Source organism: Homo sapiens, chromosome 3, assembly GCF_000001405.40.
Source record: "Homo sapiens chromosome 3, GRCh38.p14 Primary Assembly".
NCBI lineage: Eukaryota > Metazoa > Chordata > Mammalia > Primates > Hominidae > Homo > Homo sapiens.
In genome coordinates, this window is record NC_000003.12 from 45,133,189 (window position 1) to 45,152,810 (window position 19,622).

General features: G+C 45.9%; 1 protein-coding gene across 6 annotated transcripts in view, besides 1 other annotated feature; it reads right to left on the reverse strand.

The window, feature by feature from the left end:
- Positions 1–13,294, reverse strand: part of CDCP1 (CUB domain containing protein 1) — a 64,206-nt gene extending 50,912 nt beyond the window's left edge. For 5 of the 6 annotated variants that reach the window (XM_011534024.2, XM_017007070.2, NM_022842.5 and 2 more), the window contains exon 1: positions 13,018–13,190. In XM_011534024.2, the coding sequence (XP_011532326.1) occupies positions 13,018–13,099 (82 nt within the window). In that variant the 5' untranslated portion in view covers positions 13,100–13,190. The other variant, XM_024453718.2, reaches the window with a different exon arrangement.
- Positions 5,829–6,123: an enhancer, noted in NCBI's record as "tiled region #12576; K562 Activating DNase matched - State 5:Enh". NCBI's record gives its function as "activates a minimal TATA promoter and a strong SV40 promoter by Sharpr-MPRA in K562 cells {active_cell/tissue: K562}" and the evidence as "EXISTENCE:reporter gene assay evidence [ECO:0000049][PMID:27701403]".
- Positions 13,295–19,622: the final 6,328 nt, after the last annotated feature.

Consider the following 19,622-nt stretch of genomic DNA (forward strand, 5'->3'; position numbering starts at 1 on the left):
GACCTGCAGCCACAAGAACTGGATTCTGCTACAACCAACATGCTCAGAAGAGCACCACAAGCTCCTGTGGAGAATGTAGCCTGACAACGTCTTGATCTTAGCCTTTTGAGACCTTGTGCAGAGAACCCACCCGTGCTGTACATTTCTGGACTTCCGACCTACAGAACTGTGAGCTAACAGGTGTTGTTTTATGACACCAAGTTTCTGGCAATTTGTATGCAGCAATAGAAAACCAATACAGAACTCTTGGCTGGGCATGGTGGCTCACGCCTGTAATCCCAGCACTTTGGGAGGCCGAGGCGGGCGGATCACGAGGTCAGGAGATCGAGACCATCCTGGCTAACACGGTGAAACCCCGTCTCTACTAAAAATACAAAAAATTAGCCGGGCGTGGTAGCGGGCGCCTGTAGTCCCAGCTACTTGGGAGGCTGAGGCAGGAGAATGGCGTGAACCCGGGAGGCGGAGCTTGCAGTGAGCCGAGATCGCGCCACTGCACTCCAGCCTGGGCGACAGAGCGAGACTCCGTCTCAAAAAAAAAAAAAAAAAAAAAAAAAGAGGCTAGCAGCCCTCCAAGACAGAAGTCTCTCCCTAGCGTGGGCCCTTCCTTGGCCTGTAATCTTGCCTCTGAGTCCCCCAAACTCTTCCTCATTAATCACAAGCCCTGGGCAATCAATCAGGAAGAGCATCTGCTCCTCCTCCATCTCCGATGTCCTCACCACCTCCGTCACTGCCTTTACTTCCGATACTTTGGCAGCAATCCATCCTCTGCTTCACTGTGGTCTGAAGGATGACCACCAGCTGACTCACTCCCTGCTCCTTTCTTGCTGCCCTGGAAGGACAGATTGCAGCACCCACCCACGGCAGCCAGGGTGTGAGAGGAAGTGACCATTTGGGATGTCAGCTTCCCCACTGAGCAAGGGGAGAAACCCATGTTTTTGAGGCCTTAGATCTACTTCTTTCTTTTTTTTTTTTTGAGATGGAGTCTCAGTGCAGTGGTGCGATCTATGCTCACTGCAAGCTCCGCCTCCGGGGTTCACATCATTCTCCTGCCTCAGCCTCCTGAGTAGCTGAGACTACAGGCGCCCGCCACCACACCCAGCTAATTTTTTGTATTTTTAGTAGAGACGGGGTTTCACCGTGTTAGCCAGGATGGTCTCGATCTCCTGACCTCGTGATCTCCCCGCCTTGGCCTCCCAAAGTGCTGGGATTACAGGCGCGGGCCACCGCGCCCGGCCCAGATCTACTTCTTTCTTAACTGCAAAGCCCCAACCTCTTGATCACTCAGGGGACTTGACTGGGGAGTGTGGGTGTATTGCCATCCCAGAGGCCAGGGCAGCCAACCAGAAATACATCCCTCAGTTTAAACCTTCTGTTTTAGGGACCAGGGATTAACACCATTTTTGTTGTTGCTGTTGTTGTGTCCAGCAATCTTAAAGTGGGGGACGGGAGAGCAAACCACACAGCCTGAGATGGCAAACAGGTTTCTGAATGAAGCCCTTGCAAGCGACCACAAGCCAGGTCAATAACATGATTCCACAGCAAACCAGGCAGCCCAGGATAAACAGATCAGCAACACAACGTGGCACACTCCAGGAGATCTTTGGGGCCAGACACATGCCTTCCTCACCCAGAGGGCCCAGGGCAGCTTCCAGGAGGTATTATGTCAATGAGGATGTCCATTACAGACAGCTCTCCAAAATAACCTACATCAGAAGTTGGTTACCTTTGAAAGGTGTTATGTCAATGAGGAAGGCCATTATAGAAGATACTATATCAACAAGGATAGTCATGGTAGAAGATACATTCACAAGGGTGACTGCAGTAAAAGGTATGGATGTGGAAGGTGTTAAGTCAACGAGGACAGCCATTATAAAAGGTGTTTGGGCATCATAATGAAGTTACAAGAACAAGGACAGTCATTACGGAAGGCGTTATATCAACTAGGATGGTCATTATTGGCAACAAGACAGTGTCAATGTTGGGACCAGCCAGTGATCTTAAGATGAATATACAAAAATTCAGGGATATGAAAAACTAAGTTGAGGCACCAAGAATTCTGAGATGGGTTTTGAGAAGCTTGGCTCCAAAGCACATTGTGTGGGTGGATAGAAAAAAAAAAAAACAAAAAACAGATGGTTCTTCCTGAAAGGGAGAGAGATTGTGGGGCAGAGCACTTTCTGCATTCCTTCCTTACAGTAGAAGTTGGCCCTACTGCTAACAGCTATTGTCAAGGGAGGAAAAGGAGGCTTCGAACAAAACCCAAGCTAGAAAATTTGGAGTAATCAAGAATTTAATCCTCATTAGACTATATTCTGCTTGCTCTTGTAGGTGATCTCCAGTTAGAAATCAGATATTGAAGGATTAACTCTGAATTGCGTCTTTCCAGACAGTGGATCACTTAGCAAGTTGTCATTTCAGAGATGGTGGGAAATGCCATTTTAAATATAAAAATAAACATTGTGGGGTTATTGGTAATTAATAACAGAGCTATACTTCTGCTCCAGGGCCAAACTCGGGGTTTTGTTAATGATGTCCCACAGACCTCAGGCACCAGGAGAATATTTTGTCCTCCTCTTTCTCTTGTCTTGCCTGTAGAAGCTTATACTGCAATTCTTATACCTACATCTCTTGCTTTACTTATTACACTGGAAATTGTTGCAAACCCAAATATGAAAGGCAACATAGGGAAGAGGGTCTTCGTTGAATTAGAGGGTGCAAGCTCTATCAAATACTTTGTAATTTAGGTTTTTTCAAAACATACAAAAAGGAACTAGGCCAAAACCCCTAGGCCATCAATTTGTAGCCCCTGGTTTACATGTTTCAATCCCTTCCAGATGGTGAGTCCTTGGAGAGCAAGAGATAAGGGCACACAGAGCTAGATGCACAAGGGGTCGCCAATATCTACAGAATGAACAGAATTTGTTATCAAAATGACCTTGGACTGGGCTAGATCTTTTCAAGACCTTCTGAGAATTCAGGGATGTGAAAAACTAAGTTAAGGAACCAAGAATGCTGAGTTGGGGGTTTTAAGAAGCCTGGCTCCAAAGCACATTGTGTGGGTGGGTGGAAGAAAAAAAAGCAGATGGTTCTTCCTGACAGGGAGAGAGACTGTGGGTCAAAGTACTTTCCTTTTCATGAACCATATTCCTTCCTTACAGTAGAAGTTAGCCCTACTGCTAAGAGCTATTGCTAAGGAAGAAGGAGGAGGATGGGAACAAAACTAGCTAGAAAATTTGGGGCGATGAAGCATTAATCCTCATTCCACTATATTCTGCTTTGCTCTTATAGGTGATCTCCAGTTATCCATCAAATAATAAATCAAATTTTCTAGGCCTGCTCAGTGCTAGGCCCTAAAAGTAGATAGGGAAAAAACAAAACAAAACAAATCACAGCAAGTTGCTCTTCATGAAAAGCTGCTCCAAGTCGAGAAGTCAGTTTTTTGGTCATCAACTCCTCAGTTCCTAGCAACTTAACACTTCTACTGCATCCCTTCTACACAACCACATTCTTGCAGGAAGTAACTTTAGGCTTTTTTGAAGACGGGGTCTATACTTGAGAAATTTGTTTTAATGCAACAAAAATAGTAAGGGCTATATTCATACCTGGCTTTAAATTGTTTTTATTTTTAAAATATCTTAGAGGCAAAACTACGGTGACAGAAGGCAAATCAGTGGTTGCCAGGGGCTAAGAGGTATGGATTTATTACAAAGGAATCTGGAGGAACTTCGCAGGGTGATGGAAATGTTATACCATGCATTTGACAGGACCCATTGAATTATACAATTGATACTGGTGAATTTGATGGTATGTACATTATATCTCAGTAGAGCTGAAAAATATTTTTACATTTAGATAAATAATATATGAAGCACACAATAAAGTAAAACAAAATGTAAAAAGTCGTTCTCCTACCCTTGAATCTGGTTCTGTTCCCATAGGCAACCACTATTACCAGTATTTGTGCACTATTCCAGAAGTAATCTATGAATATGCAAGTGTGTATTTATATACCATCCCTATTTCATTTTATTTTGCCAAAAGGTTGCATGCCATATGTACTGTTCTGATCCTTGTGTTTTTCTCTCCACATTCTAATGATGAGCATTTGGGTTGTTTCCAGTCTCTAGCAACTAGGGCAAGGAGGGGAAGATGCCAGTGGGACATACCTTCCCACCAGTATTCCAGGTTCCTGCCTGGAACTTGAGTTGTATTTCCCATAGAGGCAGAGGCCAGTGAGGCTAGAAGAAGTTATGTTGAGGGTTTGGCACCATTCGGGTTGTGGTGGGCTTCTGCAAGATGATCCAAGCATTGTTTACAACTTGAAAAATGTCTGCTAGGCTGGGTGCAGTGGTTCATACCTGTAATCCCAGCACTTTGGGAGGCCAAGGTGGGCAGATCACCTGAGATCAGGAGTTCAAGACCAGCCTGGCCAACATGGTGAAACCCCATCTCTATTAAAAATACAAAAAAAAAAAAAAAAAATTAGCCAGGCATGGTGGCACGTGCCTGTAATCCCAGGTACATGGGAGGCTGAGGTAGCAGAATTGCCGGAACCTGGGAGGCAGAGGCTGCAGTGAGTCGAGATCATGCCACTGCACTCCAGCCTGGGCAACAGAAAAAAAAAAAAAAAGTCTTCTATGTTCCGTGAAGATAAGGACTTAGCTCTGACAGATGTAGCCCAAGGCTGAAGTACCTGATAAGACTGTCAGAAACTTCCAAGCCAGTTCCAGAGTAATCCTCCATCTCTCAGCAGGGATTAAAGGCCAGGGCCCTGCCAGGTTTCCCTCCATGGAGATCTAGCTCTAGTTTCACAGACTGGCAAACTGCAGCCCAGTCTTGGCTAATAACACCCGGTCATGAAGATAGCTGCAATCCCCAGGAGACCACTGGGGTGTTCTCATTCCCATCTCAAATGTAACTGAGCATGACAATTAAGTTGTTATAAAACTGGTCCAGTCAGTTCCTTGGCTACCAGGAAATTCATGTGTGTGCAGGCACTTGCTCACAGAACATTTTTTAAAAACTTGTTCTAGTGTCTTTTAGAATAACTTCATACGGCTTTTCACTGAGCAGCTTCACTTCTAGGAATTTCTTCCACAGATATCCTTACACGTCCCCAAAGTCGACTGCACTGGGACAGTAACCAAAGCACAATGTGTAGGTAACAAAAGTCAAAAATAATCTTACTGTCTCCCACTAGAGACCTGGTTATACAGACTATGATAGCCTATAATTTTGGCCCAGGTTGTCTGCCTATTGAATATCTAAATGTTCTTCTTGGACCTGACTCAAATAATCAAAGTGTCTTAGTTCGTTTTGTGTTGCTATAAAGGAATACCTAAAGCTGGCTAATTGATAAAGAAAAGAGGTTTGGCTGGTTGCGGTGGCTCATTCCTTTAATCCCGGCACTTTGGGAGGCTGAGGCCGAGGCGGGTGGATCACCTGAGGTCAAGAGTTCGAGACCAGCCTGGCCGACATGGTGAAACCTCGTCTCTACTAAAAATACAAAAATTAGCCGGAGGTGGTGGCAGGCGCCTGTAATCCCAACTACTCAGGAGGCTGAGGCAAGAGAACTGCTTCCCAGGAGGTGGAGGTTGCAGTGAGCTGAGATTGTGCCATTGTACTCTAGCCTGGGCAACAGAGCGAAAACTCCATCTCAAAGAAAAAAAAGAAGAAAGAAAAGAAAAAGAAAGACCGAAAAGAAAAGAGGTTTATTTAGCTCATGATTCTGCTGGCTAAAAGGTTCAAGATTGAGCATCTGGTGAGGGCCTCAGGCTGCTTCCACTCACGGCAGAGGGCAAAGGGGATCTGGTGTGTAGAGATCACATAGCAAGAGAAGAAGCAAGGGCAGGGGGTTCTTGCTGGGCTCTTTTTAACAACCAGCTCTCTAGGGAACTAACAGAGTTAAGAACTCACTCACTCCTGAGGGATCCACCCCATGACCCAACACTTCCCATTAGGCCCCACCTCCAGCACTGGGGATCAAATTTCAACATGAGATTTGGAGGAAACAATCATCCAAACTACAGCACAAAGTCATGAAATTCTCACTAACTGAGGAATTTGTTCTAGGCCAGACTAGTGCACACATCATTTCATTCAGACCTCCAGCCAGCCTCAGGGTGCTGCTGTCCCTACAGGTTAAGCAACTTGCCCAGCTCACCTCGTTAATAAGTGGTGGAGTCAGGATTTGAACCAAGCTTTGACCAACTCCAGAGCTTGTCTGAATGAGGCTGTCTCCAAAAAGCTGGAAAGGCAACTCTGAGTCCAGTGAGGTCTTTGGCTCCAGTCCTTCCATTTCTCTGCCCTCCTCCCTCCACCAACTTCCAGCTGGGAAGCTAAGCCCTTTGGGATGTGCAGTCTGAAGACACGGGCAATGTAGCAGTGAGCAAGAACTCAGAGGCAATAGTGACCGGGAGAGCCTGGTGTTTGTATCCTTGAGGGTGGCCCAGGATGCAACTCCAGCGAGACTTGTCAGCAGGGCAGTTGATGTGAAAACAGCCCATCAACACAGGCTGAACCCTCCTGACACAGTGTCCCTGGGCAGACTCCAGCAGAGCACAGAGTTCCAGTATGAGCAGCAGTGTGTAATAACTCATCTCATTATGTTGTTTGGTTCTTGGTGTGTACCTCTCCACTGTGGCTGGTGGCCACTCTGTAGGAGTTGACTGTCTACCTGTGTCCAAGAGATGCCGTGAGTCCTTCAAACTCAGGGGCTTCATCTTACCACCTCTGCATTCTCTGTGATGTCCCAGAAACTGCTTGTCTGCTCTAAGCTGTTCTCGGGGTTAAACATTGTTTTAGCCAAACTTCCTTGTTTGAAATGGCCAGATGTTCCCGCCTCCAGATCAGTAACAGAAGGCATCTCTTTGGATGCATATGGCATATGCCTGGATGTACACCATTCTAGCTCAGCTCCCAGCTGGACCACACATTGCCAAGAATTGAAGAAGCCCTCTCATGGCTCCAAGGGTTTTGTGACATGGCAGATGCCAAGGAAGTAGGCAGACCCAAAATAAAGACAACAGCCCGACTTCAACTCTATATAATCTTTGGACTCAGGGAGTTGATAAAACTCATTTCTGGAGACTGTATTTACCCAGACAAAGGCAGCAGATTGTCACCTTGTACATTTTTGCATTTGGCACATTTCTCCCGGAACCCTTTGATCTCCTGTCATTGAGGGTAGGATCATTTGCACTTCATTTAAAACTTAAAGAAAGCTACGCCATCTGTGCTCAGGGAACAGTTTTAATTTTCTTTTCAAGACGTTCTCAGATTTATTATTTAAGCATATTCCCACCCTGAGGGGAGGCATTTACTGGCCTTGCAGTCCTATGACCGAGCTGGGTTCTGGAGTCATACTCCTGGGGCTGCCAGCTCAGCATCATTACATACCAGCTAGGGAGCCCTGGCAAGTCACGTCACCTCTCTGTGCCTACTAACAGGAAGTTAGTAAGAGCAATTGTTTGAGGACGGAGAATTAAATGACACGCAGACCTACTCAAGACCACCTCTCCCATTTACATTTTCTCAGGAGAAAATAGCTTCATTTTTATCATTGAACACTGTAGAACTTATGTTTCATCTATGAAAGTTATTTTTGGCCAAGGTCTATTTCAGAAATGTGTATATTTACATCTCCAACCTCAACACATTTTAAACAAAATTATGTGCAGAAAGTCTTTACTTATATTCCAAATACACTAGGATCAAGAATGTCAGGATCTGGCTGGGCGTGGTGGCTCACGCCTATAATTCCAGCACTTTGGCAGAGCGAGGTGGGTGGATTGCTTGAGGCCAGGAGTTTGAGGCCAGCCTGGCCAACATGGTGAAACCCCACCTCTACTAAAAATACAAAAATTAGCTGGGCATGGTTGTGCACGCCTGTAATTCCAGCTACTTGGGAGGCTGAGGCATGAGAATCACTTGAACCCAGGAGGTGGGGGTTGCAGTGAGCCAAGATCATGCCACTGCATTCCAGCCTGGGCAACAGAGTAAGACTCCGTCTCAAAAAAAAAAAGAATGTCAGGATCAAGTGAGGACACCCCAAGTGTCAAAAATGTCAACAAAGGGAGGTGCCCTACATTACTGCACACAAAGCAACTGTTTGCAAACAACCATGTAAATGGTTTGGTAGTCCTCAAGTGATGTCTTATGCACTTTATGCTTAACAGGATTGGTTAATTATACACAGGTATCTTCCTGTTTTTCATCACACTTTCAGAAACTGTTAGAGGTTTTGCATCGCTGTGCAGTGGATTGTTATACTTTTTCCCACATAAAATAATGGGATGTATAGCGTTGCTTAGTGTTTTCATACAGAATGTCTGGTTTTCAGGAATGGATTACTGATGTTAATCAGAAGATGCTTATTTGTAAAATCCTCAGAGGAGTGGCTGGCACAGCAAATGTGTTGGCTATTACAAGCAGCAATAGTAGTTAATACTTTTAAAGACTGATGGACCAGATACAAACCCAAGGCTACAAAGGGGCGAGGGAAGGAGCCTGGATCTCCTTACCTGGTTGTCTAGAATGCGCCAGCTGCCCGGGAGATGAAAATTACAAGGTTGTGGGAAGTGGTTTGAAATAATTTGATTATGGCATAATTTTTATAATTTAGAATGATAATTAAGGGGTATAAACTTTTCTTTTTTTTTTGAGACAAAGTCTTGTTCTGTCACTTAGGCTGGAGTGCAGTGTCATGATCTAGGCTTACTCCAACCTCTGCCCCCCGGGTTCAAGCGATTCTCAAGCCTCAGCATCCTGCGTAGCTGGGATTACAGGTGTGTACCACCATGTTTGGCTAATTTTTGTATTTTTTAGTACAGACGGTGTTTTGCCATGTTGGCCGGGCTGGTCTTGAACTCCTAACCTCATGTGATCTGCCCCCCTCAGCATCCCAAAGTGTTGGGATTACAGGCGTGAGCCACTGCGCCTGGCTCGGTATAAACTTTTCTTAACCACCAAGGCAGAGAACCCTAGCCACTGGTCCCCCACATCAGTGGTCTTATCATCTCCCACTGTCCCACCCACCCTGACCTCAATCAGGGGTCTTTCTGACCAGCAGACTCCTCTCCCTACCCACTCCCCACCTCATCCTATCCCATCCAAACCCAGGTCAGCACCGCTAGGCAAAAACGCAGGTGAGGCTTGTGTTATAAGCCAAGGGACCCAGTTCTGTTTTCTTTTGGCAAAAAAGCACTGGTGAGCTATTAGTACCATCCAGCTGGGGTGGTGCTTCTAAGACTCTTGAGTCTGCCCAGCAACACTGTCCAGATTCTATTTGCCAAATTGGAGGGAGGAAAATGCTTCTTCCATAGATGCTGGTGAAACAACAGTGAGGAGAGCCTGGGAGAATGTGAGAAACAAGCACTAACACACTGATGGCTGGAAAGCACACCAGGACAGGCTCTCCACAGGTGACATGGAAAGACGCATCCAAAGCCCTAAGAACCTCTCTACTCTTCATCCCAGCAATTCTGCTTCCAGAACATGGAAATACGCAACTAAAGCCCTAAGAGCCTCTCTACTCTTCATCCCAGCAACTCTGCTTCCAGAACACGGAAATACGCGTGCAAAGACCTAAGAACCTCTCTACTCTTCATCCCAGCAACTCTGCTTCCAGAACGTGGAAATGCGCGTCCAAAGCCCTAAGAGCCTCTCTACTCTTCATCCCAGCAACTCTGCTTCCAGAACTGTAGCTGGACAAAATAGTTAAGAATGTTCAGAACATGGGCGCGGTGGCTCACGCCTGTAATCCCAGCACTTCAGGAGGCCGAGGCGGGCAGATCACCTGAGGTCAGGAGTTTGAGACGAGCCTGGCTAATATGGTGAAACCCCGTTTCTACTAAAAATACAAAAAATTAGCTGGGTGTGGTGGTGCACACCTGTAATCCCAGCTACTCAGGAGGCTGAGGTAGGAGAATAGCTTGAACCTGGGAGACGGAGGTTGCAGTGAGCCGAGATCGCGCCATTGCACTCCAGCTTGGGCAATAAGAGTGAAACTCTGTCTCAAAAATTTAAAAAAAGAGTGTGCAGAACAACACAGCTGAAGAACACATTCTTAGATACATCAAAATGGGATAATCCAGTTGATACCATTTTATAACCTTGGCAACATGAGGATAATGGTTCATCCTTTCATGTCATTTTCTAGTCTGTGCTATGTAATTTCAAGTGCCTTTTCACTGAATAGACCTATTAAAATTGATACAAGCAGCTGGCTATTGTTGGACGTGTTCTATTTTTAATAAGAAAAACTGGAAGCAACTTAAATGTCCAACAACTGGGGACTGGTTAAAGCCATACAATGGGATGATCCCATTTTTGGTTTGTGCACATGAGCGTGCATACATACACATTAAGAAGACTGCATCAAAGTGAATAAGGCAGTTTGCTTATAGATAATTTTTTTCCATTTTGGTTATATTTATTGCCACTTTTTCTACAATAACTATATGCTACTTAAAACATCTTAATTATTAACTTCCTTCCCCCATATTGATAGCCAGGGAGAACACCCAGAAGAGTGTGTGTGTGCACATGCAAGGCGTGCAACCATCATAGATGAAATGGCAGCATCTGAGGTGAGCCCTAGGGCTAACAGGTCTGACTCCAAGTCATGCAAATCTGTGGGGATGTGGGGGAGGAGATGGGGGAGACTCATCAGCGCTACCAGTTACACATTCCAGACAACAGCCAGTAGCTCCTCATTTGAATCGGAAACAGAATGAACACCCACACTCACCCAGGGAGTGTGAATATATCATTTGATCTGTCTGCTCACATTTTTGGCAAGAGACAATGGTGGCAAGATTGGGGTCACTGACCCAGACTCTGGTATCTGAGTGGTTCTTAGAAAGCAACCAAATGGAGGTTTTCAAAAGGCTATGATCCCAATGTAACCAGTGTTTCACTCTTGGAAATGGGGGAGTTGGTGGGGATACCAAAGTCACACAAACACACGACACCAAGACACAAACTTTCCTTTACTTTTCATCTCTGCAGTGACACCAAATTCATTTTTACTCTGCTGAGTCTTTCTTTGTTAAGAGACTTCATGGATTTATAAAACAAATCCACTGTGCCAGGGCTCTGGCTTTCTGTATCCTTTCAGGACAGTCTCCAGGAATTTCTCAAAGGCCTTTGCCACTTAGATCCTCAAGACTACAGGCAACTACTCCAACCACAAAAGCTCTCAGTTCAGCCTGATGTACCCTCAAAGGGCCAGTTCCTGAGACCATAGGGAGGAACTTAAGAAAGCGAAAGGGAAAGTTCCTAGGTTTCTACGTATTTATGTATTGAACCATGAGACAGGGCTCAGCCAGTCAAGGACTTCCTGGAAGGGACTCCATTGGAGTTACTGGACCAAAATGGCAGCCTTCCCAGATCACAGGGAGAAATGAGACCAGGAACAGAGGCTCTCATTATTAGCAATGCCTTGATTAACACCCTGTTCTGACTGGAAGAGTTCCCCACTGTTGTCACAGAAAGCCAAAAACATCTCAGATAATTCCCAGAGTTTCAATACTGTTCCAAGACTGGTAGGCACGCATTTTTCTCAGCACACATATACACATATTTTCACTTCCTTTTTATTCTTAAACTAATTCTTTTTCTTCAAAGGGAATCTTGGAAATTCAGTCCTAAGAAATTATAGTAAATATTCATCAGCCAGGCACAGTGGCTCACATCTGTAATCCCAGCACTTTGGGAGGCCCAGGTGGGAGGATCACTTGAGCTCAGGAGCTCGAGACCAGCCTGGGCAACACAGTGAAACCCTGTCTCTACTTTAATATATATAATTTATATATATATTTATAAATCCATGCCATGGTTTAAATGAAGTTTTAAATTTTCTATCTACTATGCAGCAATATGTCACCTGATGTTGGAGAATGAACCAGGAAGTATTCCTGGAGCTTATATTGATATTTTAGAAGCTCCTGTCTTGTATTTGTAAAGACGGCAGTCACCGGGACGCCCAAATTCAACCTCACTTGCGTCCTTTTATTCCTTTATCTAATTTACACCTGCCAAACACAAATCCACCCTAGATGCAGCAAGGGGAATCAAACCCACATGGCTTCCTGGAGAGCTCTATTTAAAAAACACAAAACCTGTACTAATCTCGCGAAACCTGTACTAGCCTCACATCAAGTTCTTACATGAAGAAACCAGGTTATTTACTACGTTCTAATACATCCAGGGCCCACAGGGCATTTCCTGGCTGGCACAGGTCACTGGGACGTGTTGGTCCCTTCCCCCAACCGAAACAACTCGAAATTCACACATATCCCCGGAACAACAGCCTCCTGCCCTCAAAGTCCACTGCCAAAAAGTGCGAGGGGCGCGGGAATGTCCAGTCTCTGCGGTGGCGCAGATGCCTGGCGGCTTTCTCTGGGACCCCCTAAAAGAAATCCGGGCGCTTTCATTTTTGCACCAACGCTCTTCAACTTTAGGAGAGGGGGAATGCAGCGTGCGGACGGGAAAAAGGGGATCTAGTGGGAAATGCGGACGTGAAAGCACTTTTTTTGCACCTTCTCTCTGGACCAGGCGAGGAGGTAGAGGGCGAGCCTGGAGAGGAAAGATCTCTTCCCACACCCTGCCTGGGTGCTTTCAAGAATCCCGGCAAAGACCCTGGGGCGCACGGCGCGCCACCTTGGACATGTCGCCTGGGATCGGCTACCGGGAGCTCCTTTTCCCGCCTTCTCGGCCAGCACCGGGCTCATCCTCCCGGACCGGGAGGCTCCCCGATCGGGGACACTCTCACGTGCCGAGGGCAAGGTTGACTCCAGGAGGGCAAGGCCCACGCGCCCGACGCGGCGCGCGCAGGAACCGAACAGTCCGGGGGTCCCGGAGCCACCCGCGCATTTTGACTACGCCGTCCCCGCCCTCTCTCCGCACCCTCCGCACCCTCCGCACCCTGCGTCCCTCGGCCGCATCTCCGCCGGGCGTCCGCTGGCTGGCTAGCTCACCACTCCACGCCATCCGCCTCCAAAGCCCGGCACTCACCTGCCCCGCGCGGCAGGCGCGCCGCACCCAGCAGCAGAACCCCTAGCAGTGCGATAGAGACCCCGCAGTTCAGGCCGGCCATGACTCCGGGACGCCTCGGCCTCGGTGGGGAAAACGACGGTGGGGAGCGGCGGCCCCAGGCGCCCAAGCCCGGCGCAGCTGCGCTCCGCCCTGGCTCACTCACCTGCGCGCGGGCGGACCGGCCCGAGCCCCGCCCTGCGCAGCAGGATCGCGAGCTGACCCGGTGCGTCCCTCCTCTCTCTCCTCCTCCTCTTCCTGCCTCAGCGACCGCCTCTCCCTCCCAGGGTGCAGGGCTCCCGGCACCGGGTTGCTGGGTCCCTACTACTCCCCATTGCGGCGTTGGAGCGGACTTGTCCCCACCTTTCCGGGCTTAGTCTTCCTTCCCAAGTCTGAGAATGATGAGGTCTTTTTCTCCAGAGTCGCGAAGGTCGCCCATAGAGGAAGCCAGTCTACCTTCCCTTTTCTGTCGAGGAGACAAAGGCCATTATGCGCCTCGTTTTGGAGAAGAATCCTATTTGTGGGCCACCCAAGCCCTGGATCCTCTGCTACTTGACTTGGGCCAGAGGTCTGTTGGACTTTAAAGCCGGTGGTGGTACAGCTAGTATTTGCAGGACGGTGAGCCTGCAGCCTACTCCACACACATCACCTGCAGTATTTCCAGACACGCAACGTGTCCAAGGTCCCCAGGGTAGCTAGTAAATTAGAGGCAGATGCACCACTTCGTTGAATTGTGAGTAGAGTAGTATGCATCCCTTCACTGAGCTGTGGATGGAGTAGTATGTGCCCTTCTCGAGTTGTATTATAAATGGAGTAGTGTGTGCAGTGTGAGCGTGAAGCATTCAGGTCAAACGTTGGGCTGGAAAATGAATGAAAAATGAATGGCGCTGGACTCCTTTTCCAAATCCTCCCAGCCGCAGGTGTGCCACCTGCCTGTCTTCAGAGGCCCTGTGGGTTCTCCTTCCACCCTGCCGGCCATACACCAAGTCCAGGCCACAGGCAGAGATTGCGGATGGTTCAGGAGTTCTTAGCTAGCAGACCTGGGTTCTGCCAGAATGACTCCCTGGGACTACTTGTGTTCATGGATAGCCAGAAGCTGGGCCAGAGTCACCCGGAGCAACCTGGGAGGCTTGGGACAGGAACCAAAGCATGTGCGACAGCATCAGTTTACAGTCCAGTCCCAACTTCTGCTTAATTCTTGCGGGCACTGAGCCTCTCCAGGCTGCCCCAATCCTCCTTGTGGACAGGGGTGGGAAATCATCTCCTAGGAGCGTCACCCCTTCCTTCTCGATGTCCTTAATCATGAGAATAGAGCTAGCTCTGCCCTCTGGGAGCCCACAGTCCATCGAGGGAGGCAGAACTTGGAACATGACCCTGCCCACACCCCCACCTCTGGGAGGGCCTGTATCGTGAGCTAAACGGGACCTTAGATGTAATCTTCTAGTCCACTTCTGTCCTTGTGCAGAAAAATGGGAAAACTGAGAACTAGAGGGAAGGGAGAGGATGAGAAACGAAGAGAGGCTCTTGGTTCTCCCCACTGAATCGAGGACAAATTCATCAAGAGAAAGAAATCTTGACAAAAATCTAAACAATCTTTAAAAATATTTATGCTGACCAGGAGGGTGAAAGGAGATTTGTCTTTTCTCCTGATTCTAAGCAGGCATATATATCCCAGCATCTTTTCCTAACATCCATGACACCATTGTTTCCCACATACAGTAATACCCACAACAGTACTAGAATGGCAGTGTATTGAATGCAAAATATCAGAAATATTGCTTGACAAGTTAAGCCTAAGGAACAAGTTATTTCCTTACTATTTCGTCTCTCCAAAGTTTGCTTAACTGTCTTTCTTGGGATAGTTGACACCAGCTTTCTGAAAATGGAATGAGAGTCACTAATTCCCAAATATGAAGCATTGGTGGTGGTTCCAGAAAGTAGCAGCAACGAGAAAGAAGAAAATAGGGAGGCACTTCAGCATCCTTTGCGTGACAACCCAACTACATAGTTGAAGTAAAGATGTCCTGACATACTGTCCTGGTCCTCCAAGTGGAGTGTGAACAAAGCATTGCCAAGAATGGACATGTTTTGTCTTTACAAACATGGCTGAATGGAAGGAGTAAATTTTAAAAGGTTATTTCTGAACTGGAAAGCAACGTAGGTAACTATAATCTAGTGCTAGAGAGAAATGAGAGATTGAAAGGTAAATTTTCGGCTGGGTGCAGTAGCTCATGCCTGTAATCCCAGCACTTTGGGAGGACAAGGTGGGTGGATAACTTGAGGTCAGGAGTTGGAGACCAGCCTGGCCAACATGGCAAAACCTCATCTCTACTAAAAACACAAAAATTAGCCGGCTGTGGTGGCGGGCGCCTGTAGTCCCAGCTACCCAGGAGGCTGAGACAGGAGAATTGCTTGAACCTGGGAGGTGGAGGTTGCAGTGAGCTAAGATTGCACCATTCCACTCCAGCCTGGGCGACAGAGTAAAGTTCTCTCTCTAAAAAAAGAAAAAAAAAAAAAAGGAAGGTGAGTCTTAAAACAGACTGTCCCATCTAATTTTGACCTCTTCTGAAACCCTGCAAAGGCTGTAAAACAGGGATTAAAAAAAATTACATAAGCCCACAAAGGTGGGAAGAACAGAGAGAAGACAACAGCAAAATCACCCTGGAAGCTAGACAGCAGCTGGACTAGTGGTAGCTGCCTTAGGAGCCTGGAGATGGCAGAACCCTAAGCCAGTAGTGGGGAAAACTCAGAAATAACACGATTAACACAGAAATCCTCAAAAAAGATCCTCAGGAAATGGCAGCACAAGGTATTCTGCAACTGGAGGGTGAAAGAGGAGTTAAACAAGAAAGGCTAGAAGAAAGCTGTTTGAGAAGTACTGTGGTTAGATCCCAGAACCCATCCATCATTACCCTTGCCTGGGCAACAGTCCCTCGTCCAGCTTCCAGTGTTGTTCTTGAGAAATCCAAAACCATTCTCATTTTTATTATTTTCTTTGAGACCCTTTTCTTGCCTCTAAAGCTGTAGAATCTTCTTTTTGTTCATTGGTTTCTGAAATTTCACCATAATGTGCCTTGATGTGAGTCTGCCTATATTATCGATCTTTAGATCTTGACAAGTTAGAGGGTTGGTAAGCTTAACAACTTTAGTGTTGTCTTCTGGAGAGATTAAAACCTAGGGATGTGGGCTGAGGGATGCCAGGCATAGCTGAAAGCATAGGAAACATTGTAAAAGTAGGTAAATAAAGGGAAGATATGCATTCTGAATGCTGAGATCCCCAGCTGTCTGGCCCCAACCTGCATCCAAGGATGAGACAAAAAGGCTTTGTTATCCATATTGGGGATGGAAAAAGTCTTCTTCTGGGGAGTCTGACCAGCACAGGAGGAAAGACCCAAACATATGGACATTAGACCCTCATAAACAGGCCAACCAGCTTCCTACCATGAGGCTTTCAATTAAGCCCCACCAACTTAGCTTTTTAATATCTCATTTTAATTTTAATTTTTATTTATTTATTTTTTTTGAGATGGAGTCTCGCTCTGTCACCCAGGCTGGAGTGCAATGGCGCGATCTCGGCTCACTGCAACCTCTGCCTCCCGGGTTCAAGCGATTCTCCTGCCTCAGCCTCCCAAGTAGCTGGGACTACAGTTGCACACCACCACGCCTGGCTAAGTTTTGTATTTTTAGTAGAGATGAGGTTTCACCATGTTGGCCAGGCTGGTCTCGAACTCCTGACCTCATGTGATCCACCCACCTCAACCTCCCATAGTGCTGGGATTACAGGCGTGAGCCACTGTGCCTGGCCAATATCTCACTTTTAAACATGAGCAATCAGGATTTCAGGATATCTGAGGAGAGCTTCTAACATATTAGAGTCAAAGCCAACCAAGTAACCAAACCGAGAAAAAAGAAAGAAAGAAAGAAAGAAAGAAAGAAAGAAAGAAGCAACCTGAAAGACTATACAAAGAGAAGAAAATAAAAGGAAGCAAAACAAAAAAATTACTAACTCTCTTAGAGTGATGTAGGCAACTATAATTTGGTGTCAGACAACATTCTCTCTGTGAAGCAGGAACAGCATGTTATAAAAAACAAAACAAGGCCGGGTGTGGTGGCTCACACCTGTAATCCCAGCACTTTGGGAGGCTGAGGCGGGTGGATCACCTAAGGTTGGGAGTTTGAGACCGACCTGACCAACATGGAGAAACCCTGTCTCTACTAAAAATACAAAAAATTAGCCAGGCGTGGTGGTGTGTGCCTGTAATCCCAGCTACTCAGGAGGCTGAGGCAGGAGAACCACTAGAACCCAGTAGGCAGAGGTTGCAGTGAGCCAGGATTGCACCACTGCACTCCAGCCTGGGCAACAAGAGCGAAACTCCATCTCAAAAACAGAACAAAACAAACAAAAAGATTCAGAGAACCACAAAAGAATTATTGGAAATGAAAAAAAGTGATTGTAGATAAAAAAAATAATAATAAATAAATAGAAGAGTTAGAAGTGCTCCCAGAAAGTAAAGCAAAAAGACAAAGAGATAAAAAGTAGGAGGGAAAAGTAAAGAAAATTTGAGGTCCAGTTCAGAAAATCCAACATCTGAAAAATAAGTTTCCTAAAAAGAGAGAGCAGATGAAACAGAGGAGACGACATCATCAATAATATAAGTGAAGAAATTCTCCAGGCCTGAATGACATGAGTTTCCAGATTAAAAGAGTCATGGAGTGCCCTGCACAATGGATAATATAGGCAGACTCACGTCCAGGCACATCATGGTGAAATACCAGAAACCAATAACGAAAAGAAGATTCTAGGCCAGGCGTGGTGGCTCACGCCTATAATCCCAACTATTCCTGAGGCTTAGACACGAGAATCACTTGAACTCTGGAGGTGGAGGTTGCAGTGAGCCGAGATTACACTACTGTACTCCAGCCTGGGTGATGGAAACAAACAAACAACAAAAAAGAAGATTCTGTAGCTTCCAGAGGCAAGAAAAGGGTCTCACAGAAAATAACAAAAATCAAAGTGGTTTTGGATTTCTCAAGAACAACACTGGAATTTGGAAAACAATGAAGCAATACCTTCAAAATTCTGAAGAGAGATAACTTCCAAATTAGAATTCTATACCTAGCCAAACTACCAATTAAACAATAAGGTAGAAAAAGGGCACTTTTAAACGTTCAAGATCTTAAAAAACCTCCAAACCTCCTACATACCTCTTCTCAAGAAAATACTGGAAGATGTGTTGCATTAAAACAAAAAATGCCTACAACACAGGGAGGAGTGGATACAGGTTTGTGGGGGGTAAACATAATCACCTTAAGAAAAATAATACAAAGTTGCAAATAGAAAATCAAGTGTGGGGCCAGGCATGGTGGCTCATACCTGTAATCCCAGCACTTTGGGAGGCAGGGGTGGACGGATCACCTGAGGTCAGGAGTTCGAGACCAGCCTGGCCAACATAGTGAAACCCTGTCTCTACTAAAACTACAAAAATTAGCCAGGCATGGTGGCACATGCCTGTAATCCTAGCTACTTGGGAGGCTGAGGCAGGAGAATGGCTTGAACCCGGGAGGCGGAGGTTGCAGTGAACTGATATCGCACCATTGCACTCCAGCCCGGGTGACGGGGCAAGACTCCTGTCTAAAAAAAAAAAAAAAAAAAAAAAAGAGAGAGAGAGAGAAAGAAAAGAAAAGAAAATCAGGTGTGAAAACGATTACTGTGTTTAGACTGAGGAAAGAAATCTCAATGAATTACAAATGGAAAAATATCACAAATGTTCCAAAATCCAGAAAAAATAACATAGTATTTTTACTGTTAATTGTCTGGTTCAACTCTAAGTCATTCTCCAGGTCATTTTGCAAGATGCATCAGATAAGATGCAACTGATATGTTGAGATCCGTAAGACCTGTGAATTCACATGCAGAAATACTCACTGTCCATAGAACCATTATAGTTTTGTGCCCTACAAATACAGAAATTCCTATAAATTCCATTTGTGTGATTCCTATTAAATATAAAGATCAAAATAGTATAGTGCATTCAAAATTATACTGCTGATTACCAATTTGTTTCTGACAGAAAAAAAAGCCCATCATTTTTGATAAGCCATGATGAGTTGCATGTTCTGCTTAAAATTTTAGCTTTGATAATTGGAAAAATTTTCCACAGACTAGCTTCTTCCGGATCTGTACATTTCACTTTATTCCTCCTCCTCCACTGTGCACATACTCTGGGTGTTGGACACTGTAGCACAGGTTCATAATGTAATATCACCTCTGGCCTTGCTCCTTCTGGTCACCTTACCTTGTGAGTCAGCCCAGTGGATGGGAGGAGTATTCCTAGAAGCCATTACTACAATGTGAGAACAAGCAATGGCTTAACTATACATGAATGTGACCATGAATCAAATAAATATATCCCACCAGACCCCAATTATAATAAATGTATGTCTGAGTTAACATCCCTTTAGCCTGATCCCAAAATGCCCACAGCCAATCAATGCTACATTGTATAAGGGGAAGTTTGATGGAAAGAAAGTGGAGGGAAGGCTTTTTTTGGCAGTCAGAATACGTGCCTTTGCAAATTTGACAAAGA